General features: G+C 40.3%; 1 protein-coding gene and 1 long non-coding RNA gene across 3 annotated transcripts in view, besides 3 other annotated features; one reads left to right on the top strand and one right to left on the bottom strand.

The window, feature by feature from the left end:
• Positions 1 to 16,648, bottom strand: part of SEC61G-DT (SEC61G divergent transcript) — a 45,657-nt gene extending 29,009 nt beyond the window's left edge. Inside the window, exon 1 of the long non-coding RNA NR_110040.1 lies at positions 16,437 to 16,648. This is a non-coding gene — a long non-coding RNA (SEC61G divergent transcript). The remainder of the gene's footprint in view (positions 1 to 16,436) is intronic.
• Positions 1,550 to 1,709: a silencer, noted in NCBI's record as "silent region_18185". NCBI's record gives its function as "represses an Ori minimal core promoter by ATAC-STARR-seq in GM12878 lymphoblastoid cells {active_cell/tissue: GM12878}" and the evidence as "EXISTENCE:reporter gene assay evidence [ECO:0000049][PMID:35858748]".
• Positions 15,612 to 16,547: an enhancer, noted in NCBI's record as "H3K27ac hESC enhancer chr7:54827107-54828042 (GRCh37/hg19 assembly coordinates)". NCBI's record gives its function as "activates a minimal SCP1, AML or CMV promoter by ChIP-STARR-seq in naive H9 embryonic stem cells {active_cell/tissue: H9 hESC(naive)}" and the evidence as "EXISTENCE:reporter gene assay evidence [ECO:0000049][PMID:30033119]".
• SEC61G (SEC61 translocon subunit gamma) lies at positions 16,750 to 23,708 on the top strand. 2 transcript variants are annotated; one of them, NM_001012456.2, is made up of 4 exons: positions 16,750 to 16,799; positions 18,367 to 18,466; positions 20,080 to 20,182; positions 23,541 to 23,708. In NM_001012456.2, exons 2-4 carry the CDS (start codon positions 18,373 to 18,375, stop codon positions 23,548 to 23,550), a joined length of 207 nt encoding a protein of 68 aa, NP_001012474.1. In that variant the 5' UTR covers positions 16,750 to 16,799; positions 18,367 to 18,372; the 3' UTR covers positions 23,551 to 23,708. The 2 variants fall into 2 exon arrangements, with proteins under 2 accessions (NP_001012474.1, NP_055117.1); NM_014302.4 differs by having other exon boundaries at positions 16,750 to 16,803.
• Positions 16,781 to 17,100: a silencer, noted in NCBI's record as "silent region_18184". NCBI's record gives its function as "represses an Ori minimal core promoter by ATAC-STARR-seq in GM12878 lymphoblastoid cells {active_cell/tissue: GM12878}" and the evidence as "EXISTENCE:reporter gene assay evidence [ECO:0000049][PMID:35858748]".
• Positions 23,709 to 27,284: the final 3,576 nt, after the last annotated feature.

Genomic DNA, 27,284 nt, shown 5'->3' with positions numbered 1-27,284 from the left:
GATATTTCTCCCATTTGCTTTTGGAAGAAGAGAAATATGGTTCTGTTCTGCCCAGCTCACCGGCGGTCAAGAGTTTAAGGTTATCTCTCTTATTCCCTGAACAATTGCTGTTATCCTGCTCTTTTTTCAAGGTGCTCAGATTTCATATTGCTCAAACACACATGCTGTACAATTTGTGCAGTTAACGCAATTATCACATGGTCCTGAAGCGAAATACATCCTCCTTGGCTGACAGGATTAAGAGATTAAAGTAAAGACAGGCATAGGCAAGCACAAGGGTATTGACTGGGGAAGTGATAAGTGTCCATGAAATCTTCACAATCCACGTTCTTCTGCCATGGCTTCAGCCGGTCCCTCCGTTTGGGGTCCCTGACTTCCTGCAACAGGAGTTAGTCACAAGATTCCAGGGAAACCACAAACAAGAGGTGGGAAGCAAATTAATGACAGAGTGAAGCCCTCTGTGTCAGGCGCTTTGCACACATTATCCCTGGTAGTCCTCAAAAGCAGCCCTAGGAGAGAGGTCTGGTTTCATCTTTTCTCTGGAAAACAAACTAAAGCTCAGGGAGCTTTGGTAACAAGCTCAAGACATTAGCAGTAGTGGTTGGGAGCAGAACCAGGCTGTAAGCCCAGGGTTTCCCTCTTCCAGCTTCCGCTTATCTCCCCACAGTGCGTGGAACCTGGGTGGGGCAGCAGGGCCATCAGGGCTGCAGGGTTGGGCCTTAGCGAGGGAAGCTTGTCAGGTCCATGCATGGCCCAGCTAGGAAGTTAGCCTTTACTCATGGTCTGAGGTTCCCTGTCTCCCGGCTCTTCTGTTTGTCAGTCCCCGATCCCTGCCCCACACCGCCCCCCAGCCAGTGACTGCGGTTGTCCTAAACTTTGTCCTCTGGTTCTTCAAGGCAGTGGGATGTTCTCCATGTGAGCTTTCACCATCCACGTGGCACAGACCAGGGGCTGCCCCAAGAGTACAAGTCGTGGAAATGGGAGGTTCACCGGCACCTCCTCCTCCTGTAGGACCCCGCCCTCGGCCGGCCCCTGCCTGCCCTCTCTCCAGTCTGCACTTAGCTGCTCTGTACATGGAGGCTAGAGTCCACAGTTATCTGTAGAGTTCTAGAGTTCGTCTGATGGACACAACTTTGTAATTACCAAGAAATAATTTTTTTTTTTTTTTTTTTTTAAAGACAGTCTTGCTCTGTCGCCCAGGCTGGAGTGCAGTGGCATGATCTCGGCTCACTGCAGCCTCCACCTCCCGGGTTCCAGCGATTCTCTTACCTCAGCTTCCTGGGTAGCTGGGATTACAGGCACATGCCACCACACCCAGCTAATTTTTGTATTTTTAGTAGAGAAGGGGTTTCACCACGTTGGCAAGGCTGGTCTTGAACTCCTCACCTCAAGTGATCTGCTCGCCTGGGCCTCCCAAAGTGCTGGGATTACAGGCGTGAGCCACTGTGCCTGGCCCAAGAAATACTGTCTTACACAAAACATTCTGAATCAAACGGATGGTTTCCAGAATGGATTCATTTTCTTTTCCCCTCTGCTAATAACCTGGTCCTAGGCTCCCTTAGAAGACGCAGTTGCTGCAGGGTTTCCCGCCTCCGAGCAGGTGAGGGCATTCACGCTTCTGCACTGCCCTCCAGTGGCTGACTGCCTGAAATGCGAATCAGATTCTCTGGGAAGCAAAGCGCTCTTCCCAGAGGTAAGGCGACTTCTCAGGGGCTTCCATTATGGAGTAACAAACCGCAGTAGACATGAGTCTCCCTAATAACGAAATAGATTACTGGATTGCAAACTATTTACATTTTTCACTTTTATTTGCAACAACAACAGAAAAACAAAAGCTCTTGAGATGTTTAAAGGATCCGTGACGTAGTTATTGAGTGTAGACAGTAATTAAGTATATTAGAGAAGACTCCCATAAGCACCTGGAGAAGAAAGTACTGAGGACAATCGTGTCAATGACGTGAAGAACTGCCAGGTGAAATGAGACTTTATTGAGAAAGACGCCATACACTTTTGCTTTCTCTGAGTAACACCGCCATCTTGTGTCTTTTCTCCATACTTCCGATAAAACTAGGCAAATCTTTTGCTACTTTGAGCACTTCTAAATGTTTTCTAATAGAAAACATTTTTGGAGCTTTGGGATTCCAAAGCATTTAGGAGCTTTGGAATGTTCTTTCAAAGCTCAAACAGGAGAAAATACACATAAACTCTTCTTAAAAAACTGCATGGAGGTGTAGTTTATATTCAATAAACTGCACCTTTATATCAGTTCAAGGGGTTTTGGCGAATGTATACACCCAGTCAACCTCAACACAACATGTAGATTTCCATCACCTCCCAAAGTACCCTTGTACCTATTTACAGGCAAGCTCACCCCAGCTCTTGTCCAGGCAACCACTGATCTGCTTTATGTCCGTTCTGACTTTTAAGAATTTCATCTAAAAGGAATTATATAGCATGTACTCTTTTGTGTCTGTGTAAATACTTGCTTTTTCCATTTAACATAACACTTTTGAGATCTATTCATTTTGTTAAATCTAACAGTATCTTATTCATTTTTCCTTCTCAGTACTATTCTCTTGTATGAATATACCCCAATTTATTGACCCAGTCTCCTGTTGATGGGCACCTGGCTTGCTTCCAGTTTTTGACTATTAAGATTGCTATGAGCAAATGTGTGTAACAAATGTGTACAAATGTTCTCATTTCTCTTGGTAAATACCTAGAAGCAAATTACTGGTAGAGTAAGTAGATATTTAACTATAAAAAAACAGCCAAAGTATTTCCTAGAATAGTTATACCATTTTCTTTTTTCTTTTTTTCTTTTTTTTTTTTTTGAGACGGAGTCTTGCTCTGTTGCCCAGGCTGGAGTGCAGTGGCACGATCTCACCTCACTGCAACCTCCACCTCCCAGGTTCAAGCAATTCTCCTGCCTCAGCCTTCCGAGTAGCTGGGATTGCAGGTGACTGCCACCACACCTGGCTAATTTTTGTATTTTTGGTAGAGACAGGGTTTCATCATGTTAGCCAGGCTCATCTTGAACTCCTGACCTCAAGTGATCCACCTGCCTCGGCCTCCGAAAGTGCTGGGATTACAGGTGTGAGCCACCGCGCCTGGCCAGTTACACCATTTTCTATTCCCACGGCAATCAGTGAGAGCTCTGGCTGAGCCATGTCCTTGTCAATATCTGGTATGATCATCCTTTTGAACATTGATTCTAATGGGTGTGTGGAGGTGACTCATGATGAGTTTAATTTGCATTTTCCTGCTAACTAATAATGCTGAGCATCTTTGCATGTGGCTATTGGCTATTTGTATATATTCTTTGGTTAAAGTCTGTTTAATTCATTTGCTTCTCTCACTTTATAAAATTGGGTTATTTATCTTCTAATTATTGAATCATAAGATTTCTTTATATATGATGCTCTATAAAAGTATCTTGTCACATATATATATCGTTATTTTTTTCCTAGTTTGTGACCTGCCTTTTTATATTATTAATAGTATCCTTTGGGGAGCAAACATTTTAAATTTTGATAGTCTAATTTATCATTTTTTAAAGTTACAGATTTGTGGGCCGGGCGCAGTGGCTCACGCCTATAATCCCAGCACTTTGGGAGGCTGAAGCGGGCGGATCATGAGGTCAGGAGATTGAGACCATCCTGGCTAGCACGGTGAAACCCTGTCTCTACTAAAAAAAATACAAAAAGTTAGCCGTGCGTGGTAGCGGGCGCCTGTAGTCCCAGCTCCCTGGGAGGCTGAGGCAGGAGAATGGGGTGAACCCGAGAGGTGGAGCTTGCAGTGAGCCGAGATCGCGCCACTGCACTTCAGCCTGGGTGACTGAGTGAGACTCCGTCTCAAAAAAAAAAAAAAAAAATTATAGATTTATTACCTCAAAAATGTTTGCCTACATTGAGATCACAAAAATTTTCTCCTACATTTTTCCTAGAAGTTTTATAGTTTTACTTTTTGCATTTTCATCCATGATCTTTTTCATGTTAACTTTTGTGTATCATATGTTGGAAATACTAAAGTTTTTTTTTTTTTCCATACAGATATATAATTGTACCAGCATCAGCTCTGTTCCTGTTCTTAGCTCCTGTTCTTAGAGAAAATAAGTTCAGTCTTTTGCCATTAGGTATGATGTTAGCTGCACATTTTTAAAAGTGCCCTCTATAAGCTTGAGAGTTTCTTTTTATTCCTGCTTTGATGAAAGTTTTTGTAATAAATGTGGCTAAATTTTGTCAAGTGCACTTTTTCTTCTAGTCCTAAGGGAGAAAAAAACATTTTCCCCTCCTATTAATGTGAGGAGTTGCCTTGGTTTTTCAAATATTAAGACAACCTGGCACTTCTAAGAAATGTTCCACCTGATTGTAATATATTGTCCTTTTTATACATAGATGGATTCTATTTGTTAATATCTTGTTAAAGATTTTTGCATCTAGATTCATGAAGAATATTGGTGTAAAGTTTTCTGTATTTGTCTGGTTTTGGTATCAGCATGATGCTGGCTTCAAAAATTGAGTTGGAAAGGGTTCTTTTTATATTCTGAGAGAGGTTATGTTTTATTACAATTACTATTGCTTTTTTAAATGTTTGATAAAATTCACCAGTGAAGACATTTGGGCCTGGGAGTTTTGCTGTAAGAAGGAAATTATGAATTCAATTTCTTTAATACATATAGAGCTATTCAGATTTTCTAGCAACAATTTTTGTTGTACACTTTTTTCATTGATTCTAAGTTATCAAATTTAATGGCATAAATTTGTTTGTACTGTTATTACCCATTTAATGTTTGTAGGACTGGTAGCACTGTCTTTTCTTTCATCCCTAATATTGGAAATTTCTATTTTTTTTCTGATCAGTTTAGCAATAGATTTATCGAGATTGATTTTTTGAAGAATCCTTTTAGTTGTATTGATTTATCTCTGTTGTCTGTTTCTAGGGGTAGCGAATTTTTCTGTAAATAACTAATACATATTTTAGGTTTGCTGGCCATATGATTTGTAAGGCAGCACTAGACAACAATAAGTAAATGAATGAGTGGGACTATTTTCAAATGCAAATATTCACAAAAACAGTGTGAAGCCATATTTTTGCCTGAAAAGTTGTGATTTGCTGACCCTTGTTTTATTAAAAGTCTATCTTTACTTTTTGCTTCTTTCTACTTACTTTGGTGTTAATATTCTCATTTTTTCTAGCTTTCTGATGAAGAAAGTATAATTCCTTGGTTTTGAAGAACATTCCCAATGGATATGGAATTTGAGGTTCATACTCCCTCCTCTCACTCCCCACCCCAACTAGTGGTTTAAAGAGGTGATTCTGCCCTTAATTGCTTCCTATGATATATCTGCTCTTGGTTTTATCTTTAGTCCTCTGTATATATGTGTACTTTTTAAAATTTGGCTTTTTAAGATTATCTTTTTCTACTATGTCTTTTATTTAGGTTTTTTGAGCTTATTGGATACGTCAGTTTATAATTAGTCAAATTTGGAAAATTTTGTATTCATTGATGTCACATTGGCACCTTGAAATCAGCCAGAGTGGGAATATTTACATCATGAAAATTGGCCAATGCTATGGATTGAGGCTTTTTTCTCCATAAAGGTATTTGTTAAAATTTGCCAATATATTTCTGCCCACAGTTCACCAATGTTGGGCTCATTTTCAATCTCCTTTTCTCTCTGTGCTTCTACTATCATAGTTTCTATTGCTGTGTTCAAATTTACTGATCTTTTCTTCTGAAGTTCTCATTGGATGTTACACCTATAGTGGATATTTTTCATTCTAGATATGTTTTTCAGCTCTAGAAGTTCTGTTTGGTTCTTGTTAAAACATTTTCTATTGATTTTTTCATTATGTTTAATTTTCTTTAAATCCTTGGGCTTATTTTTACAAATGATTTTTAAAGTCACTCACTTAAGTCTTTCCTCTCTGCTATCTCTGCATCTGCCTCTGTTGACTGATTTTTCTCCTGGTTACAAGTCTACATTTTTCTGCTTTCTTGCATGTTTTGTAATTTTCAGTGGATGTCAAACATAATTTTTAATTTCAAGTGTGTAGCTTTAATTTTTTCCTTCCTTTTTTTGTATAAATCTTTACACTATGGCAAATTTAGCCCTGTTACTAAGATGCCACCCTCCTGAGGTTTCCACTAAATGTCCCATACAGTCAAGGAGGACTCTCCACCTGGCTGGTTAGAACTCATAGTCTCCCAGCCCTTGTGTCCTCTGCGAATTGTTCATCTTACAGCTCCTGGTCATTGTTAGCCCAGCCTCATGGTGTTGCATCTTACATAGGCACTATTGGTTTTCCTCAATAGATGCAATGGGAGCTCTTTGCAGATTTCTAGAGCTCTTTTTCCATTTAGCACCCTCCTCTATGCTAGTATGCCCTAGAAATTCCACCCATCTCTATCTTCCTGGTCAGTAATAATTACCATTCTCTGCATATAATCTTTTCCCCTTACCTTGTGGCTTTGGTTTGAAAACTGCCTTTCAAGCAGAATTCTGAGGGGGTAGACTCACTTTATTTTTTTACCCTCCCCTTATGAATCATAGTCTTGTATTTCCTGTTTCCCAGTGTCTGAAAGAGTTGTTTCCCATATTTTGTCCAGTTTTCTCATTTTTGGTATTGGGAGTGCAGGTCTTGCTCCAGTTTCTCCGCCATGGCTAGAACCTGAAGTCCTTGTATACTCCAGACCCAACCAATTATCTTCTCTTCCTTCATCGAGGATCTCCCAACCCCTTGGACAGAGCTGTTTTCTGTTTGTTTTTGTTTTTTAACAGAGAGACAGGGCCTTGCTCTGTCACCCAGGCTAGAATCATAGTTCACTATAGCCTTCAACTCCTGGGCCCGAGAGATCCTCCCACTTCAACCTCCTCAGTAGCTAGGACACAGGAGCATGTCACCATGCCCTGCTAGGTTTTATTTTTATTTGTAGAGACAGGGTCTCACTATGTTGCCCAGGCTGGTCTCAAACTCCTGGCCTCAATTGATCCTCCTGCCTCGGCCTCCCACAGCACTGAGATAACAGGGATAACTGAGCCACTGTGCCTGGCCTCAACAGAGCTGTTGACAGCACTATCAGTCTTAGGTGGGAAGCTTTATGAACAATAAAAAGGGAGGAGATATGAAAATCCACTTAATTAATCCCAGTTATAACTGATGAAGCTGGGCATTGTAGCTGGGTGGTCTTTTGTACAGTGAATAAATTATGTCCTTCATTGATACTCAATTCTTAGACTGAACTGAACTAACCTGAGGACTAGGTATTAATTTCCCATTTCTAAAAACAGAAAGTAACCATCCAGGGGCCAGTAAGGGATGGCAGAAAAGCATACAGATAAAATGGGGGAAAAAATGTCTGTCCTGGGAGTTAGGAAACTTGGTTCAAAAGCATCTATATGTATTTTCCTCACTTGCTTCCATTTCTGTCTGTAACAGTAGGCAATTAAACTCTTTACAATAAACCTGCTGGCTCCTTCATTTTTCTACTGTTTTGGTTTCTCTCCCGGCTAGCATTACCCCGTGTTTAGTGGGGTCATCTCGGTAGGCTGGAACAGCTATCCCCTTAAAGGTTAGATCACTCCCACTGCACCAACGAGCACAGGGTAGGTCTCAGAGCAATTCAGGGGAAGTGAATGGCATAGAAAAACAGGACATATCTAATAGCTTCTTGAAATAGTAGAGACATCTCTGTGTTTTCCAGTTAAAAAGGACTCCTGAGTTAAAAGGATCACAAGATGGCAGGGCATGATATTTTAATTCCCCATCTTTTTATTTTTTTTGTTTGTTTTTGTTTGAGATGGAGTCTCGCTCTGTAGCCCAGGCTGGAGTGCAGTGGCGCCATCTCAGCTCACTGCAAACTCCGCCTCCCGGGTTCACACCATTCTCCTGCCTCAGCCTCCTGAGTAGCTGGGACTACAGGCACCCGCCACCATGCCCAGCTAATTTTTTGTATTTTTTAGTAGAGATGGGGTTTCACCGTGTTAGCCAGCCCCATCTTCTTATTAAAACAGCAATGGCTGTGAAGTAAAACAGGCACCCAGAATTCACCTCCTCCAACATCTGATGTAATCAACAATAATTATTGACAGCAGCAAAAAGAGCAAGAGCAAGAACCCAATACAGAAACGTGTACAACTTCATGCTACCATAATGAAATAAGAAAACAGAAAAAGAACACTCTGCCATGACTTGGCATAGCTCCCTATCATGGACCCTAGGCCCCCAAAACAGAGTGAAAAAAATGTTGAGAATTTCCACAAATCGTTCCTGCTTTGGAGAAATGTTGTCTGAGGGGGTTGAGCTGGAAGCTCAGGCAAAGTCAAAACACAATCCAAGAGCAGAGACCTCTCCAGCAAGATGCAGAGCACGGGCCAGAGGGACGCTAGCTGGGGCCCTGGAGGAAGAGCCTGAGACCCGGGGTTGTCCCCACTGTCACTGTGCCCTGGATAGGGCCCTGGGTCACACTTCTGAGGAGAAAACAGAATCCATATCCTTTGCAAAGGAGCGGCTGGAACGAGGCCTAGCCATCTGTCTACATTGAAGTGAACACAAGCAAAGCACAGCTTACAGGCGAGAGTTCTACCGGGCACAGGGGACTCCGGAAATGTACCAAGGGCACTGAGAGAAGCCTGGCCACACAGCAGAGAGCAAGGTGGAAGGCAGAGCCGCTTGCTCTGAATGTGCAAGAAAAGCCATGACAAGATTATATTCTCTTCAGTTTTGAGTTTTAAACTTTTATAACATACATTTTTTAAAGGATCTACTAAATTTAAATTATACAAATATGCCACTGAAAGATAAATACATCGAGAGGTGGCGGTTGCATGCAGAAGCCAGATGAGGAGGCTGGTGAGGAGGCAGTTCGGAGACAGGAGGCCTCCATGGCCACTCTCTGCAACCAGAAAGGTCTCAGGGCACGAGTCCTGCAAAACGCTTCTCAATCAGTGAACTAACCTAAAAATAGAATGAAACAGGATGGAAGACGGTCCCACTAAAGAAAAAATTGAGAACCAAAATGACATCACAAAATAAATTTAAAATAGCAAGAAACACAGTAGTTAAAAATGGAGTTAATAAAGTGCAAAAAAAAAAAAAATAAAAAAACTTGAGCTGACCAAGGTGAGTACACAGGTGTAATTAAGGTAAGACAATTAAGAAAATATAAAAAGAACAAAGAAAAGCTAACAAAAGGGTAGTTGCCTTAAACAGATACTCCAACAGATCAAACAGAAAACATATTACAAGAACACAACATTTCCCTGAAGTAAGAATCGAGCAGTCTTGGGAAAAAATGATATAGAATGTCACTTTTCATTGAGATCCTGTTTGTCACTGAATCTCAGTTGCAGAGAAAGAATCCTTTAATCACATCAAGGGGACAAGGATGGGACAATCTGAGGTAGCATCAGATTTCCCTTCTGAAACACTGAGTGCTAGCATGTAATGGAGTATTTATCTTTCAACTAGATTATAAAGAAAAGAAAGTGATGCCCAAATTTATATGCACCCACATCACTAAAGTATACAGACAGGCATATTCAGGTACGCATAAACTCAGGAAAAACCGTGTCCTTAAGCTCCTTAAAGAAAACCACTTGACAATAAAATTTAACTGATTAAGCAATAAGTATTAAAATGAAGTTTCAAAACTATGATCCCTTTCCCTCACATGAGTACTCACAAAGCTCTCTTCCTAAAAGATTAGTTCTACATTGCAGCAATAGGACAGGACACGTCCTGATTTTTATATTCCTATGAGATTACTCTGTGTGCGTCCAAAAATTATACTCGCTTGAACTGTTAATATCTCTCTTAGGAAACAGGAGGGGAAAAAAGGCAATGAAAGCGTGCCTTCTATGTGGGTTTGTGAGGGCTGCCATAACAAAATACCACAGACTAGGAAGCCTGAACAACAGCGATTTATCCTCTCACAGTTCTGGAGGCGGGAGATCTGAGATCAAGATGCCAGCAAGGTTGGTTTCTTCTGAAGCCTCTTTTTTTAATTTGTGCATCTTCTCCTGGTGTCTTCACATCACCTTCTTTCTGTACATCTGTGTCCATAAGAACACCTGTCATATTGGATTATAGCCTACACCTCTGGCCTCAGTTTAGCTTTTTTTTTTTTTTTTGAGATGGAGTCTCTCTCTGTTGCCTAGGCTGGAGTGCAGTGGCCTTATCTCAGCTCACTGCAACCTCCACCTCCTGGGTTCAAGCAATTCTCCTGCCTCAGCCTCCCGAGTACCTGGGATTACAGGCAGTGAAACCCCATGCTCATCTTACTTTTGTATTTTTAGCATAGATGTGGTTTCCCCATGTTGGCCAGGCTGGTCTTGAACTCCTGACCTCAGGTGATCCAACTGCCTTAGCCTCCCAAAGTGCTGATTACAGGTGTGAGCCACCATGCCCAGCCTCTCATTTTAATTTAATAACCTCTTTAAAGACCTTATCTCCAGTGGCCAAACCCTGTCTCTACAAAAAAAAAAAAAAAAAAGAAAAAACATTAGCTGGACGTGGTGGCACATGCATGTGGTTCCAGCTACTGGGGATGCTGAGGTGGGAGGATCGCTTGAGCCCGGGAGGTTGAGGCTGCAGTGATCTGTGTTAGCACTACTGCACTCCAGCGTGCGTGACAGGGTGAGACCCTGTCTCAAAAACAAACAAACAAACAAACAAAAACAGAAAATACCTTATCTCCAAATACAGTCAAATTCTGAGGTCTTAAGAGTTAGGCCATCAACATGTGAATTTTGGGGGTGGCACAGTTCAGTCCGTAACATCCTCCATATCTCAAATAATGTAAAAAAGTGACTTCATGCCGTCATAAGTCATAATTCATCATACAGCTCCAGGGGATGTAGTGAAGAAGCCAGAACCCCTTACCTTGTTTAAATAAGTCAACGTGTTATAACAAGGTTTGTGGTCAAACTGGACTCTGTCAATGGCTTTGTCTTGGGAAAGGCACTGGGCTTCTCAGCATCTTGACAAAAGGATTGACTGGGGGCGGCTGCGGTGGCCCACGCCTGTAATCCCGGCACTTTGGGAGGCCAAGGCGGGTGGATCACCTGAGTTCGGGAGTTTGAGACTAGCCTGACCAACATGAAGAAACCCCGTCTCTACTAAAAATACAAAAATTAGCCGGGCGTGGTGGCGCATGCCTGTAATCCCAGCTACTTGGGAGGCTGAGGCAGAAGAATCGGTTGAAACCGGGAGGCAGAGGTTGCGGTGAGCCGAGATTGTGCCATTGCACTCCAGCCTGGGCAACAAGGCTCAAAAAAAAGAAAAAAAAAAAGAAAAGATTGGTAGTGGAGGGAAAGAGTGCAGGAGCCTGATGGTGCTTCAGCCAGAGCATAAAGGAAGCAGTGAGATGACTCTAGTTTCTCTCCCTCTCCTAGGATCTTTTATTTTATTTCTAATTTTTACTAATAGACTTTATTTTAAGGGTAGTTTTAGCTTTTCAGAAACATTGAGTAGAAAGTAAAGAGGTACCACAACCTTTTACACATCCTCCCTGCACAGTTTTCCCTATTATTAATATAGTACTAGCGAACATTTGTTACAACTGATGAACCAATATTGATACACTATTATTAACTACAGTCCATGGTTTACACTAGGGTTCACTCTGTATAGTTCTTCAGGCTTTGACAAATGCATAATGGCATGCATCCACCACTGTAACATCACGCAGACTGGTTTCACCTGCACCAAAAATTCCGTGGACTCCACCTATTCTTCCCTCTCTCTCACCCTCCCTCAGCCCCATCAAGACCTGGCAGTCACCGATCTTTTTACTGTCTCTATAGTTTTGCCTTTTCCAGAATGTCCTAGTTGGAATCATACAGTGTGTATTTTTTCAACTGGTTCTTTTACATAGCAGTATGAATCTGAGGTTCCTGCTTGTCTTTTCACGGCTTGAGAGCTCACTTCCTTTTAGCATATTCCATTGTTTGGGTTTATCACAGTTTGTTTATTCATTCATCTGCTGAATGACATCTTGGTTGCCTCCAAGTCTTGACAATTGTGAATAAAGCCGCTATAAACGTGTGTGTTAAGTTTTTGTGCGAGCATAAATCTTCCTGTTATTTAAATACCGAGGAGTGCAATTGTTGGATAGTATGGACTACGTTTAGCTTTATAAGAAACTGCCAATGTGCCTTCCACAGTGGCTGTACCACTGGCATTCCTACCAGCAACGGAGACTTCCTGTTGCTCCACATCCTTACCAGCACTTGATGTAGTATTTTGCACTTTAGACATTCAAATAGGTTTGCAGTAGTATCTCATTGTTGTTTTAGTTTGCAATCTCCTGGTGACAGGTAATGGTGAGTACCTTTTCATATGATTATTTGCCATCTGTGTATCTTCTTTTATGCAATGTCTGTTCAGATCTTTTGCTTATTTATTTTTTATTTCTTTTTTTTTGAGACGGAGTCTCGCTCTGTTGCCCAGGCTGGAGTGCAGTGGCAAACGATCTCGGCTCACTGCAAGCTCCGCCTCCCGGGTTCACACCATTCTCCTGCCTCAGCCTCCCGAGTAGCAGGGACTACAGGCACCTGCCACCATGCCCGGCTAATTTTTTGTATTTTTAGTAGAGACGGGGTTTCACCGTGTTAGCCAGGATGGTCTCCATCTCCTGACCTTGTGATCTGCCCTGCCTCAGCCTCCCAAAGTGCTGGGATTACAGGCGTGAGCCACCGCCCCCGGCCTTTTTGCTTATTTTTTAATTGGGTTGTTTTCTCCTGAAATATACTAAGAACCTTAACATGCAGTAGCAGCACTGCACCCTGGAGAGCCTGAAACCCTGCACGACTGTGTGGAAAGAACACGACCCTGTGCCAGATCCGCGGAGACTTACTATGTGGAAAGAACACAGCCCTGCATCAGATCTGCGGAGACTGGCCTGGGCAGAAATCAGCACGTGGCCAGCCCAGAGGGTGGCTATGTGTGTCGGAGCAGTTAGACTTCTCTAATACAGGCCAATGCAGGAAAAGAAGTCCATTAGGCAGATTCAGAAAGGGTTTTGTTTTTGTTTTAAGAAAATGATCATGAAGTAAAGGGAACAGTGAGTTTCAGGAGGAAGTAGTCAATTGAAACTGTTTACTGTAATTGATAATATAGAGTCACTGGCAACTAATTCTGTGATCTCTAAATCTTTCGAGTCAACTTCACCACCCTCTTCTGGTTACTGCATTTTTAACTAAATAAGATGGAGTAACTTTTTTTATAGTACTTAAAACCTTGTTTTTTCAAAAAGGGTTTGAGGAGGGGAGAAAACTTTATTTGATCTCATCACATTTAACTCTTAAAATATTCCTGTCTAAAAGACTCTTTATGTTTGAATCTAGGTCCAGTCTTTGATTTTTCCTGGGGAACTGTTGACACTTTCATAATTTCAACCACTGTGTCAGCTTCATTTTTAAAAAGATACAGCTCTTTCCACTTTGTCATCATACCTAAATGAAGTAATACAAAACAAAAAGCTGCTATGGAGTCCTTGGTTCTCCATAGATCTTCTTAAACTTTTTCTTGCTTCAGGCAGAGATTCAAGAATATAAATGGAATATTAATTCAGCTTATCTCAAACGATATTATTAATATTTCATGTATTTTTAAATTGAGGGGCAATTTAAAATTTCTGCTATATATACATTCAATTTACACTCAGTACAATTTATGTCAAAATTTTTAAAACTTGATTTGGTGATCTATATATTGACTTTTTTCCATCTTATAAACATTTTTAAACATACAGAAAAATTGAAAGAATTATTCAATGAACATCTTACACCACAACTAAGTCTACATTTAACATTTTGTTGTATTTGCATTATCACCAGTTTATTCCTCTAACCATGAACCTGCCCTTTTTAAAATCAAAATAAGTTGTAGATACCTGTACATTTCCCTCCTAAATGCATCGACAATTGTATAATTAACTAGAGCTCAATACTTGTTGAGGTTTTTTTTTTTTTTTTTTTTTTTTGAGGAAAAAGGCACAGACCTGCTGCTATGGATGGAATGTTTGTGCGCCTCCAAATTCATATGTGGAAGCCCAAATGTGATGGCATTTGGATGAGGGGCTTCTGGGAGGTAATTAGGTCAGGAGGCTGAAGCCCCATGTTGGGATTAGTGTTCTTACGACCAGGAGGAGAGCTGGTCCTTTCTTTCTCTCTTCCTCCATCTCCCGCAATGTGAGAATGCAATGAGAAAGTAGCTATCTATAAACCAGTAAAAGCCTTCACAAGAACCTGACCATTATCTCTGACTTCCAGTCTCCAGAACTGTGAGAAATAAATGTTTGTTGTGTAAGCCACCACTCTATGATACTCTGTTATAGCTGCCCACGTTGACTAAGACCCCTGTGAAACCCTAAGACCTGTTAAATTACAGAGCATTACATTCACTCCCCAGTTCCCTCACCCGCCTTCTCAATATGTAGCCCCGGGCAAACACTGTTCTGATTTTTTCCACCATTCATTATTTTTGCTTTGTCTAAAATTTCTTGCAAATGGAACTGCACACTGTGCCTTCTTTAGCGTAGGCTTGTTTCACTCACCATGTTTGTCATTCATCAATGTTGTGGCAGAGAGTTTTCTTTCCTTAGCTATGGAGTACTATTCTGTTGTGGGACTATACCTGTATGTTTATTCATTCTATTGATGGTACCCTGTTGCTTTTAGTTCTGTTATCAATAAAGTTACTACGAACATTCCTGTACAAGTCTTTCTGTGAATTTAGTTTCATATATCTTCAATAAGTACCTGGAATTGGAATTGTGGAGCCATAGGTGGTGTATATATGCTTCATATTATGATAAACTACTAAACTTTTCCCAAAAGGGTTATGCCATTTTACACTCCTAGTAACCAGGAATTAGAGTTCTAGAGTTCTGATTGTTACGTATTTTTGCACAGATTTGCTGTTATCAGCCTGTTTTTTTTTTTTTTTTTTTTTACAGACGGAGTCTTGCTCTGTTGCCCAGGCTGGAGTGCAGTCGTGTGACCTCAGCTCACTGCAACCTCCACCTCCCGGGTTCAAGGGATTCTCTTGCCTCAGCCTCCTGAGTAGCTAGGGTTACAGGCATGCGACACCATTCCAGACTAATTTTTGTATTTTTAGTGGAGACGGGGTTTCTCCACGTTGGTCTGGCTGGTCTCAAACTCCCGAAATCAGGTGAGTAGACAATTATAACAATACACTGTAATGAAAGTTATTTGAATGTGGCCTCTCCCAGATTACCTTCTGGTACACATCTCTTTTTGAACCAGATTTTCTTGGATAAGGGGAACCACTGTATGTGTTACTTGATTTTCTGTGTTTTGCTGAAAATACTGTCAACTCAGACATTTGGTGGTTGGGGTGAACTTGCCAACATGTGATTTTATGTTTTTTTGGAATGAATTATTTTTTTGAAAATTATTTATTGAGCATTTACTGTGTTTAGCACTTTACTAGATGCTATATTATACCCACTTGGAGCTTATGGTCTAGTAAGGGGATTTACAGTGTAGGGAGACAGACCGAGGAATAAATAAATAAATGTTAATACAAATGCTATGCAGCAAATGAAGAAGGTATTGTGAAAAAGGAAAAAAGAGCATGAGATAGACAGGATTGCCTTAGATGGTCACTATAGGCCTCTAAGGAGATGACACATGGGCTGAAGTCCCAGGGATGAAGAACTAGTCAAACGCATCTCAGTCTGTTCAGAATTTAAAAGTGACTCTTAAAGCTAAGGCAAGGTATGTGTAGTGTGTATGGACCACCTACAGTCAGATATACGGAGGTGTGTGACCTCTAACCCTGACCCACTGAATCAATATCTGGAGGTTCTGGGGTTACAAATTTCATTTACTAAAAAACTTAACAGGAGATTTCAGTTACTGAAGAAGTTTAAGAAGCACTGAGAGTTGTAACACGTCTTAATGTTCCATCAGCTCTTCCTGAGTTATATTGTTCCTCAGATCCCGTTATGCTCCATTGCTAAAAGGAAACATGGCCGGGCGCGGTGGCTCACGTCTGTAATCCCAGCACTTTGGGAGGCCGAGGCGGGTGGATCGCGAGGTCAGGAGTTCAAGACCAGCCTGGCCAATATGGTGAAACCCCGTCTCTACTGACGGTTTCAGCCATCCGGCGGGGGGTTCCTGGAATGCATCCTTGTGGGTAAGTGGGGAGCTGTGTGTACATTATGACCACTCCCGTAACCAAACCTAGCGTTTGACAAAGGCCTCAATTACAGCGGCATTCATTACCGTGAATGACAGCCAAAGTCAAAGTTTGGGGTGGGGATACTATTTTGAATTAGGCCATAACATTATATTGCTCATAAGCTTCATTTCGACCAACATTATATACATACAAAAAGTATGTACCGTAAGGACACACATCAAGCTGGACCGCAGGAAAAAAAACCACAACTTAGGATTTACCTAGTCAGCCGCTACTAGAGAGCAAGCACCGCGCAAGGCCGCTGGGGCTCGTGCTGTGGACGTGAGTGGGTTGAGGTCGGGCTGGTGGGGTAACCCGGGATCCAGCCGGAAAAAAGGGATAACGCTAGACTCACACTCCTAAGGAAGGCCAACGCCCCAACTAGCGAGCTCCGCAATGCATCTCTTCCAGGAAGCGTGGCCGGGCGCACGTCGCGCTGCGCTTGCGCACTGAGGTTTCGCGTAAGGAACCAATAGGACGGAGGAGTGGGCGGGCTGTTGGCAGAAACCCGGATTCCGGTTCCGGTGGGCCTCCATCAGCAAGCTCCAGTGCTACGTGTCCCTGGCATTTTAGGTGTCGGTTGGGTAGGTGAGTTTCTTCCCACCGGTCGGTACGGGCGAACGGGGCGGCCACACCTTTGCGACTCTTGGGGGCAGCGGGCGTGGGCGAGCCGGCGTGTCTCCCCGGGCGGCCGTCGCGGGGCGGGCGGTAAGTGGTCCCCTGGCTCAGGGCCGGGGTCTGGCCGCCGACATCCCACCAACTCGGCCTCTGGCGGAAGGCAGACCCAGGGCCGCGGACTCCCGGCGAGCTGGGTGGCCGGCCCGCGGGGCTCCAGGGCTTAGCGTCCTGCCCCGGCGTCTTCTGTGCTGCAGCCAAAGATGATGTCCTGCTGCCCGATCCCTTCGGGGTTGGCTCTGTGTGCTGTTGTGGAGTCCTGTCTGGGAAGAGCTGTACTCAGCTCTGGTCCTGCCGCCGCTTCCGTGGTTTAAAGTGAGAGCATTGGTCTAGAGTCTAGTTCGAGAGATCATAGTTGGTTTTTGGATCTCTACCCCTGACATTGAGTGCGGTATTGTGTGTAGCGTGCGTTTTTCTGGATAAAGAATTCTTAGCTTCCTTCGTGACAACTATGATTACAAAAAGTTTAAGCCCTTTGGATTTCAAGAGCAAAGTTGAGTGAAATACTGAGAAAACAGACATTACTGTGTTTTTGCCCCCAGAACGTTGCAGAATTCCTGGTGTTTCATTGACATTATTTCATTTCGTTGTCCACACCCTACACTAAGGAAGGCAACTGGGGCTTACAGAGGTTTACATTCCATAGCCAGTGATTTGAACTACCACCTGGCCACTGTTCTGAGTACTGGAAATGGAGGAAAATACAAATAACACCCTGGCTGCTTTACTTACTATAGCAGTGGCTCTCAAAGCTAAGATCGGATAACATTTCTATTGGGTAATAGATTCCTCAAAAGAACCTGTATGGTAAAATATATAGCCCTGTTTCCTTAAAAGATGTGTTCAAATCGAAAAGTTTGAAATTTAGCTAGTAGCTTCTCAGAATTTGCGTCTTCCTTTAGCCATTCTTTATACTTTAGAAAAGTATGTTGTATTGGCACGTTTTAGAAAAATCAAGGTTGAAATTCACGTTTGCCTCTATTCTAGGCTCTTGCAGCACCGTAGTTGGCATTCACTGTACAAGACACTGGCTTCTGCGTAGTTTAAAATAAAATATGGAAAGTAATTGTTGGATCTCAACACTGATGGTTCCTTAGGAGCGGTGAGGGGACTGTAGAATGAGAAATGGATGGGACTGCAGAGTGAGAAAAGGAATGGATGTGTTACCAATTGCGTAACCTTTTTTAACCTTTTAATAGAGATAGGCTTTTTATATTGCGTGTGCTGTTCTTTGTCAGTGAAGATATCATGAGTAAGATCTGTGCTTTTCTTATTGCCTTTGATAATTAACTGAAATTTCCAAAAATAATATCAATTTAGGCTTTGGAGTTTGTTTTTTGTTTTATTTTAGGAGGTGGAATTGACCCATGTTAGACGTGAATTCAGTGGCTGGTCTCATTTACATCTTTATATAAATGAGCAAGTGCTTATTGTATGAGAACCAATACCAGTGAGTATCTTTTTTGTTTTAAACAGGCAGTCATGGATCAGGTAATGCAGTTTGTTGAGCCAAGTCGGCAGTTTGTAAAGGACTCCATTCGGCTGGTTAAAAGATGCACTAAACCTGATAGAAAAGGTAATTGCTTGACTATGAGAGAAAAAATTAAATCTTTGCATTTTCTAAGCCTTTTGTTTGATTAACATCTTGATTAATAGCCCTTGCATTACTTTGATCAACATTTTTATTGATTGATCCTGCGCGACAGCTTTTTAACGTTGTCACTTCTTCCTAAATTTTTTACTCGTCTAAATTTTTATGTATTTTCAAATGGTGTAAGATTATTTATTACAGCCTTATGTTCCATGTAACATTTTAGTTAGTAACATTTTATGACTTTTAGTATCTTACATATTTTCTCTTTGGAAAAGCTTTGAAGTCTCCCTACTCAGCTCCCACCCCAACGAACAAAACCTTAACATGAAACCAACAATATAGTTTTTGCCAAACTAGAAAGTTAATTTTGTTATTTATCATGATTCATGTGTTAAATTTGTCTACTTTTATTCATTCATTGAGTTAGGAGCTGGTAATATAATAGAGAATATAACATGTATATAATATAGTATATAGTATATAATATAGTATATAGTATATAGTATATATAGTATATAGTATATATATAGTATAGTATATAGTATATAATATAGTATATAACATGTATATATTATAGTAAAGAGAATAGTCCTTGCTGTCATGGAGCTTAGACTCTTACCAAGGAAGACTGTCATAAACAAATTATTGCGGTTATATTTTTTAATTACTGCTGTGTTAAGTATTATGGAAGATAACTAGAAGGAAGTTTGACAGCACATAATAGGAGGACTAACCAAGTCAGGAGATCAGGGAAAGCTTCTCTTAGGAAGTAACATAAAATGACAACATTACCAGTGTAATGTTTTATAAAATTGTGCTCAACTCAGACAGAGTCTCACTCTGTTGCCCAGGCTGAAGTGCAGTGACGCGATCTCGGCTCACTGCAACCTCCGCCTCCTGGGTTCAAGCAATTCTGCCTCAGCCTCCTGAGTAGCTGGGATTACAGGCATGCGCCACCACGCCCGGCTAATTTTTGTATTTTTAGTGGAGCCAGGGTTTCACCATGTTGGCCAGGCTGGTCTTAAACTCCTGACCTCGGGTGATCTGCCCACTTCGGCCTCCCAAAGTGCTGAGATTACAGGCACAAGCCACTGGGCCCAGCCCAGTTTGATTTTTCAAGTCTTATTTTTGGCTTCATCATAATAGCAAAGGCACCGGACCCATCGTTTATAATGTACCCAAAAAAGGTATGTTTCTGCCCATATAATTGATATGTTATGATAAAAATTACAATGTTACATTTTAAAACTTAAGAAAAATAATGTATATTTCTTTCATCCATGACCTTTTTTTGTTTTTGGTATTTTCTGGTCATTTGCTAAGAAGAAAAAATATTTTTAGTACTTGCTGATGAACTCACTAGGACAGATATGCATTATTATTTGTTTCCTTAAATATCAACAAAACATGGAAATTTTAAAACCTGTCAAACAACTTGTTTACTGTTAATAGTCTCACCTTTTTATTTTTAAATTATATATCTATTAACAGGAGAAATGTATACTAGTTAAGTTCATTTATGTTGCTGATAGTTTTTTTCCCATACTTTCAGTGACAGTGCAAAAAATATGTGAATTTCCTGTTTTTAAATGCAGAATTCCAGAAGATTGCCATGGCAACAGCAATAGGATTTGCTATAATGGGATTCATTGGCTTCTTTGTGAAATTGATCCATATTCCTATTAATAACATCATTGTGTAAGTAAACTTTATGAAATAGACTAGGATTGAATGAAACTCAAAACCATTTGAGATGACAGGCTGTTATTTCGTTAATATAGAGATGCATCTCTTGACTTTTTAGTGCTGTTGGAGTCTACTGATATTTACGAGTACCTGATAATTGAGGGCTTTTAGATCTTACATGATCTGTCCAGAAATTCTGTGTGCTAGGCACTATTTTCTTTAATAAATAAAATTTTACAGAGTCAAGAAAGTATTAAAGACACTCATATGTCACAAAGCCAGCATTGAAACCTAAGTCCTCTTTGTGCTGTTACCTTGTTAATTTCTAATGTGCAGAGCAAATGCTTCCCATCCAAAAATCACTGCTGTGATAGAATTCTAACTCTGGACCAGATTGCCTAGATCCAAAACCTTTTTCTTGTTATGCAGTAGCTGTCCTAGCTTCAGGCAATTTGCCTAACCTCTCTGTGCCCAGTTTATTCAGTGGGGATAATAGTTCTTACTTGGATTATGACTTTAAGTCATGTAAGGCCCCAGAAACAATTTGGGTAAGAATACAAGTGAAAGTTGTTACTATAATGAGCCATTGATACTGATAGGAGAATATCATAACTTTTAAGTATGTTAGGAGGCAAAAAAGGCTGAGAAACACTGGGATCACTTTATTTGTTTCCAAATAATTTTGCTTTTTAAATTCATTACAAGTCATTGGGACACCTTGTGGCATTGAGCAATTAGAGCAATTAGGTAATTCAGTTTAGGGTAAGGACTTAGTATGAGTTTCAGTACTTACTTTGTGATTTTGTATGCATTTAATCTCAGCCTCATCCACTGTTTGGAGGTAATAAAATCTATTATTACCTGATAATAATATCAGGTGTATCAGTGCTTGTATCCATTAAAAGCACTGAATAAGTGTTAGTTGAATTAAGTGAACAACTTCAGGTTCTTTGCCTTTTCTGATGGTGATGGTGGCAATAATAATTAACATTCATTGAGAACTTCCATATGGTATTGAAATCAATCAGTAATATCAATTGATTTTATGGGGTGGTGAAGTTTGAAGCAATGATTTAAAAAATTTCTAAACTATAAATCTCCTAAATACTAGGTATTTTATCCCAGGTACTGGTACAGGTTGCCTTTTAAATGACAAGTAACAATGTATATTGTCAGAGGGATTTCTGAAGTAGGTTACCATAGTTATTAAGGCAGAAGTGCCACAAAGTGATATTCAGGATCATAAATAGTTAGAACTAGATGGGCCCAAGTCACTGATATCTCATTTGTCAGTTCAGAAATCCCTTGTATTTTACCAGTGAGAAATGCCAACTGTAGAACTGTGGAATCACGGGGAGAATACTGAAGTAGAATGAGGAAATCAGTAAAAAGAAGTGGCAGAGTCTCTGTCAAGTCCCTTCTTTTTCATACTCGGTGCCTCTGCTCTTTCTGCTTCCCATTCTGTCATGAGACAGATTTATTGATAGGAAGTGTTTCTTTAAAATGATAACAAAATTAGTTTCCTGTGATAATCACCCTTCATTGTTCTTAGTTGTACCTTTCAGAAGAACACGTAAGCCCACCTTTTCCAATTTTTTGGTATACAAGCACCTTTCAAATTTTTTCCCCGGCCTTCACTTAACCTATATTTTTGTCCCTTTTGCCAGACATCATTGTCTGCCTTGGGTCATACTCAGGTCCGTCTTTTCATATTAGATTATGAGTTGTGAGGCAGGCCTGCCTTGTTATTTATATTGTATGTCTCTCCTATAGAGTCTGGTCCAGAGCCCCCTTGTATCCGTTAAAAGCACTGAATAAGTGTTTGTTGAATTAAGTGAACAACTTCAGGTTCTTGTCTTTTTAATGGTGATGGTGGCAATAATAATAGTTAACATTCATTGAGAACTTTCCATGACTGTGTGTCAACTCATTTAATCTTCATGAGGAAACAGGCATGGGGAGGCTAAGTAATCTACTCAGATTGCATGGCTAGTGATAGAGCAACACGGGAAATCTTTCAGAAGCTAGTTACTTAGAAAACTTTTCTTCTAGTTAAAAAAAATGGTTTCAATGTTTAAGAAGTTAAAAAATCTATCTTTAGATATTTTTTACCTTAACATGAAGGCCAATTAAAACATTTTGTGAGAGACACTACAGAAAACTTACTCTTTTCTCATGTTATGCCAGGACAGCTGTAAAACTGAAAGGAATCTTGCTTTCCCTGCTTGAAAGAGGATAATCATTGTTTAAATCATTTTGAGATGGTAGCAAGGGAAATAACTCATTGGGTTGAATTATCAGTTTTTTCTTAAGATTTTTTTCTTCTTTTTTTTCTAAGTATAGCAATCAAAATTAATATTCACAGTATTAGAATTTAAAATAGGCACTTGCTGGCCTTTTAGTTATAGCAATACTATTTAATAGCATAAGCATTTAAAATGCTAAACATTAAAGTATATGCTCAGGGGTATTTTATATAATAATTTTCTCTTTTTTTTGAGATGGAGTCTTGCTCTGTTTCCCAGGCTGGAGTGCAGTGGTGCAATCTTAGCTTATTGCAGCCTCCGCCTCCCAGGTTCAAGTGATTCTCCTGCCTCAGCCTCCTGAGTAGCTGGGACTACAGTTGCACCCCACCATGCCTGGCTAATTTTTTTTGTATTTTTAGTAGAGACGGGGTTTCACCATGTTGGCCAGGGTGGTCTCGAACTCCTGACCTCAGGTGATCTGCCTCCCTCAGCCTCCCAGAGTGCTGAGATTACAGGTGAGAGCCACCATGCCTGGCCTATTTTATATAATTTTCTTCTGGTAATGGAATTATTTTGCTTTAACATTACTAAAATGTATATCTGACTATGCAGTTTTAATGTTTATGCTTTTAAAACTCAGAAGTTCTTCTGTAGAAAAGGTGATTTTTGTTTTCATCATGACTAACCCAGATTTTGGAATGATTATGGTAAGATGCAGTGCTTGAGTACCTTGTGCTCATCTGCAGTCTGTTTTCTGCTGGTGTGTTCTACTGGTGTGTCAACTTTATCAACTTGAAAAGCTTCTCAACTAACCATCCTGTCATGTAGTTGATATTTTTTGTTGTGTTCAGAAAGGCGTTATGCTAGACTATTCCAAAATGGCATTTCCTGAATGAGCATTGTGAGTTTACACATAGACCTCTTCCAGTAGCCACATCATCTTTTCAGGTCCAGGATTTTAAAGTTCATTGTGCCATTCTTTTATGCCATCTTTAGATGAAGTTAGGTGGGATTCACATAATTGGTCTTGAGCCGTTAAAGTTATAGCATATTGCATTTCAAATAATAATAATTATTAAAATCTTATCTATGCTCAGAAGTAATAATTTTTCTTTCTTTTACAGTGGTGGCTGAATACATTTTGGAAGAGAGTTTTTCATCTTAGAGATTGGTGAACAAGTGTGAGGGTGTGAGAAACTCACAGAATACAAATTTGCCTGTATGTTTTGTGGGTTTTTTTTTTTCCTTTCAAGATGTTTTCTATTTCTAAATTAAAGTAATTTCAAAGTAAATGAATATCTCTTTTTTCTGTCATAGATACTTATCACATTTCAACGATAAAAAATAGTAGTTTCTTTCTCTGAATAATTTGGTTTATAAGAGAAATGAAAGGGTTTGGTGAAATATTACACTTTCTGAGAGCTCTTCTGTTTTAGCCCCTTTGTGCTAGTATTACAAAATACCTGAGACTGGGTAATTTATAAATAATAGAAATTTATTCTCACAGTTCTGGAGACTGGGAAGTCCAAGATCAAGGTACCAGCAGGTTTGGTGTCCGGTGAGGGCCTGGCCTCTGCTTACAAGCTGGTGGCTTAAATGTTGTGTCCTCACATGGCAAAAGGGATAGACAGGCAAAGGGCCTTCATCCCATTCATGAGAGAAGAGCCCTTGTGACCTCCTCACCTCTTAAAGGCCCTACCTCTTAATACTATTACATTGGAGATTAAATTTCTTTATATATATGTATGTATGTGTGTCTTGCTCTGTCGCCCAGGTTATAGCTCACTGCGACCTCAAACTCCTGAGCTCAAGCCATCCTCCTGCTTCAGCCTCCTGAGTAGCTGGGACTACAGGCACATGCCACCATGTCTGTCTAATTTTTTGTAGAGATAGGGTATCGCTGTGTTGCCCAGGCTGGTCTTGAACTCCTGGCCTCAAGCAGTCCTCCCACCTCGGCTCCCAAAGCACTGTGATTACCCGGCTAAGCCACTGTGCTTGTCTGGAGATTGAATTTCAACATGAATTTTTGAGGGACATAAAAATTCAAGTTATAGCATCTGCTATCAGATAAATGTTTATCTATGGTCCAAGACAAAACAGCAAGTAAAAGGTGGTGATTCCCTATTAGAATTTGAGGGCAGGGTAGGAGTTTTTCTGTAAGCACTTAATTTTTTTTTTTTTTTCTTTTGAGATGGAGTTTCATTCTTGTTGCCCAGGCTCGAGTGCAATGCCACGATCTCAGCTCACTGCAACCTCTGCCTCCCGGGTTCAAGCAATTCTCCTGCCTCAGCCTCCCAAGTAGCTGAGATTACAAGCATGTGCCACCACGTCCTGCTAATTTGGTATTTTTAGTAGAGACGGGGTTTTTCCATGTTTGTCAGGCTAGTCTCAAACTCCCGACCTCAGGAATTTTAAATAGTCAAAATTATTATAGTTTAGAAGCTACTTGAAATAGTTTCCTAGAGTTATGGTTAAAACTTAAAAGTGAGAGGTCCTCTTATAGATGTACTAAATCAGTCACTCTATCTTGAACACTGGAGTTCTGAATTTTATTAAGAATTCACTGATAAGAGTCTGAAATGAAAAGGGGACTTATCCTCTTTCCCCTTTAAAAAAAAAGTGAAGCCAGGTGCAATGGCTCACATCTGTAACCGTAGCACTTTGGGAGGCCTACACAGGAGAATTGCTTGAGACCCAGGAGTTCAAGGCCAGCTTGGGCAACATAGCAAGACCTCAACGCTACAAAAAATTTTTAATAGCCTGGTGTGGTGGCATGCACCTGTAGATCCAGCTGTTTAGGAGGCTGAGGTGGGAGGATCTCTTGTGCCCAGGAGTTTGAGGCTGCAGTGAGCCATGATTGCACCACTGCACTCAGCCTGGGTGACAGAGTGAGATCTTGTCTCTAAAAATAAAATACAAGCAGTAATTTAAATTTGAGTTTATTCCCCCTTTTTTAAAAAAGCAATTGCATTGCTTCAATTTGTTCATTCAGTGTTTAGTTATTGCTTTATTTCCCTACTTCTAATATTTTTAAAAAATTTGTTAGCAAAACACATGTTTACATGTTCTTTCATCCTCAGTAGGGTAGGGAAGTGTCTAATTAGTGTGGCTGGGCAGTATTCCTCAGTTTTGGAATCCACGGTTCAGAGATTCTGGTCTGTTTTTGTAGTAACAGTAACAAATTTTTTTGCCTACTTAATGAAATGTTGACAGTGTTTCAATCTTGAATGAATTGATGTCTTCAAAGATAAAAATACAGTGAAAGGCCGGGTGCGGTGGCTCACACCTCTAATCCCCACCCTTTGGGAGGCAGAGGTGGGTGGATCATGGCGTCAGGAGTTCGAGACCAGCCTGGCCAAGATGGTGAAACCGCATCTCTACTAAAAATACAAAAATTAGCCAGATACAGTGGCGGGCGCCTATAATCCCAGCTAGTCAGGAGGCTGAGGCAGGCGAATCGCTTGAACCTGGGAGGCAGAGGTTGCAGTGAGCCAAGATCGTGCCACTGCACTCTAGCCCGGACCACAGAGCAAGACTCCATCTCAAAAAAAAAAAAAGTACGGTGAAAATTTGGTCATCTCTAAGCCTAAGGAGACCATATAGTCACATTTATAGCTATTAGCTGCTTAAAGGCCAAAATTGTATGTGCATATATATGCAAGTGCGTGTATACTTGTGTATGTTTACATATATGTATATATAGATAGACATTTACATACATGCACCTATATACGTGTATATTTTAAACACGGTAGAAATTCTGAAATGTAGACTTGGTGCTGGCAAATGTGTGTTATGTTGTTGGTTAAGATGATTCTGAACATTAATATTTTTTGACATAATTGTAAATTCCTATTATAGCATACATTTAGGCTGATTATTTTGATGACTTACTTGGTTCTTGACACATGAGCGGATAAGGTATTACATACATATTTTGTATGTATACATGCAAATGAAATGAGGGCTGACCAAGAATTCTGGTGATAGAGCAGAGTAACCTTCACAAGCAACAGTTGCATTTCTTAAGTAGGAAAGAATAAGTATATTTTTCTTATTCACCCTACTCCTAGCATATATGAGAGCTATATACTGTGAAACAGTATTAAACTTCACCATGCATGAATCACCTGAAGGAATTTCTTAAACATTTTCTGTTTGTTAAGTACCTGTAGCAAAACATACTAATGCCCTTCCTGTGGCAGTTCCCCAGTTTCTCTTCTTTGCAAGCAAAGTCATCTCGTTTTTCTTCAGGTTGTGTACCACGTGTATGGGTACGTGAACAACACGTTTTTGTTCACTTGTTTTTAACATCATGTAATTGGAATCACGCTGTTTGTATTCGTTTGTGACTTGCCTTCTCTCTAAAAAGAGTATTTTTGAGGTTCATGCATGCAGATAACATAGCTGCAGTAACTGTGGTCCATTTATTTGCACTGGTATATAACTTACTGTTATGAAATTATTCTGTAACTTTTTCATTTGTTTTATTATTGATGGACGTTTGGGTTGTTTTCAGTTTTTTGCTTTCAACAATTTTTCTTCCAAGTTTTCTTGCTAAGAATGTGGGTATACATGTCTTCTGGTATAGCTGTGCAAGCATTTCATTTGGTCTCATACCTAAGTAAAACTGCAGTGTCAAATTATGTCCATGTTCAGCCTTGGTAATGCCCATCATTTTCTGAAGTCATGCTAATTTCTACCCCTCCAGTAAGAGACTCCTGCTCTACATTCTCCTATTAGTACATTGTGCCTGTCTTCTTTTGTTTTGGCAGGTGTTTTCATTTACATTATGGTATTTTGGGATGAAGGAATTCTCAATGATAGTAATTTTACTGTATGAATATTTTCACCTAACATTTGTAACT

The sequence above is a fragment of the Homo sapiens genome, chromosome 7 (genome assembly GCF_000001405.40).
Source record: "Homo sapiens chromosome 7, GRCh38.p14 Primary Assembly".
NCBI classification, from domain to species: Eukaryota; Metazoa; Chordata; class Mammalia; order Primates; family Hominidae; genus Homo; species Homo sapiens.
The sequence above is the reverse complement of the archived record's forward strand: the minus strand, read 5'-3'. Positions and strand labels throughout refer to the sequence as shown.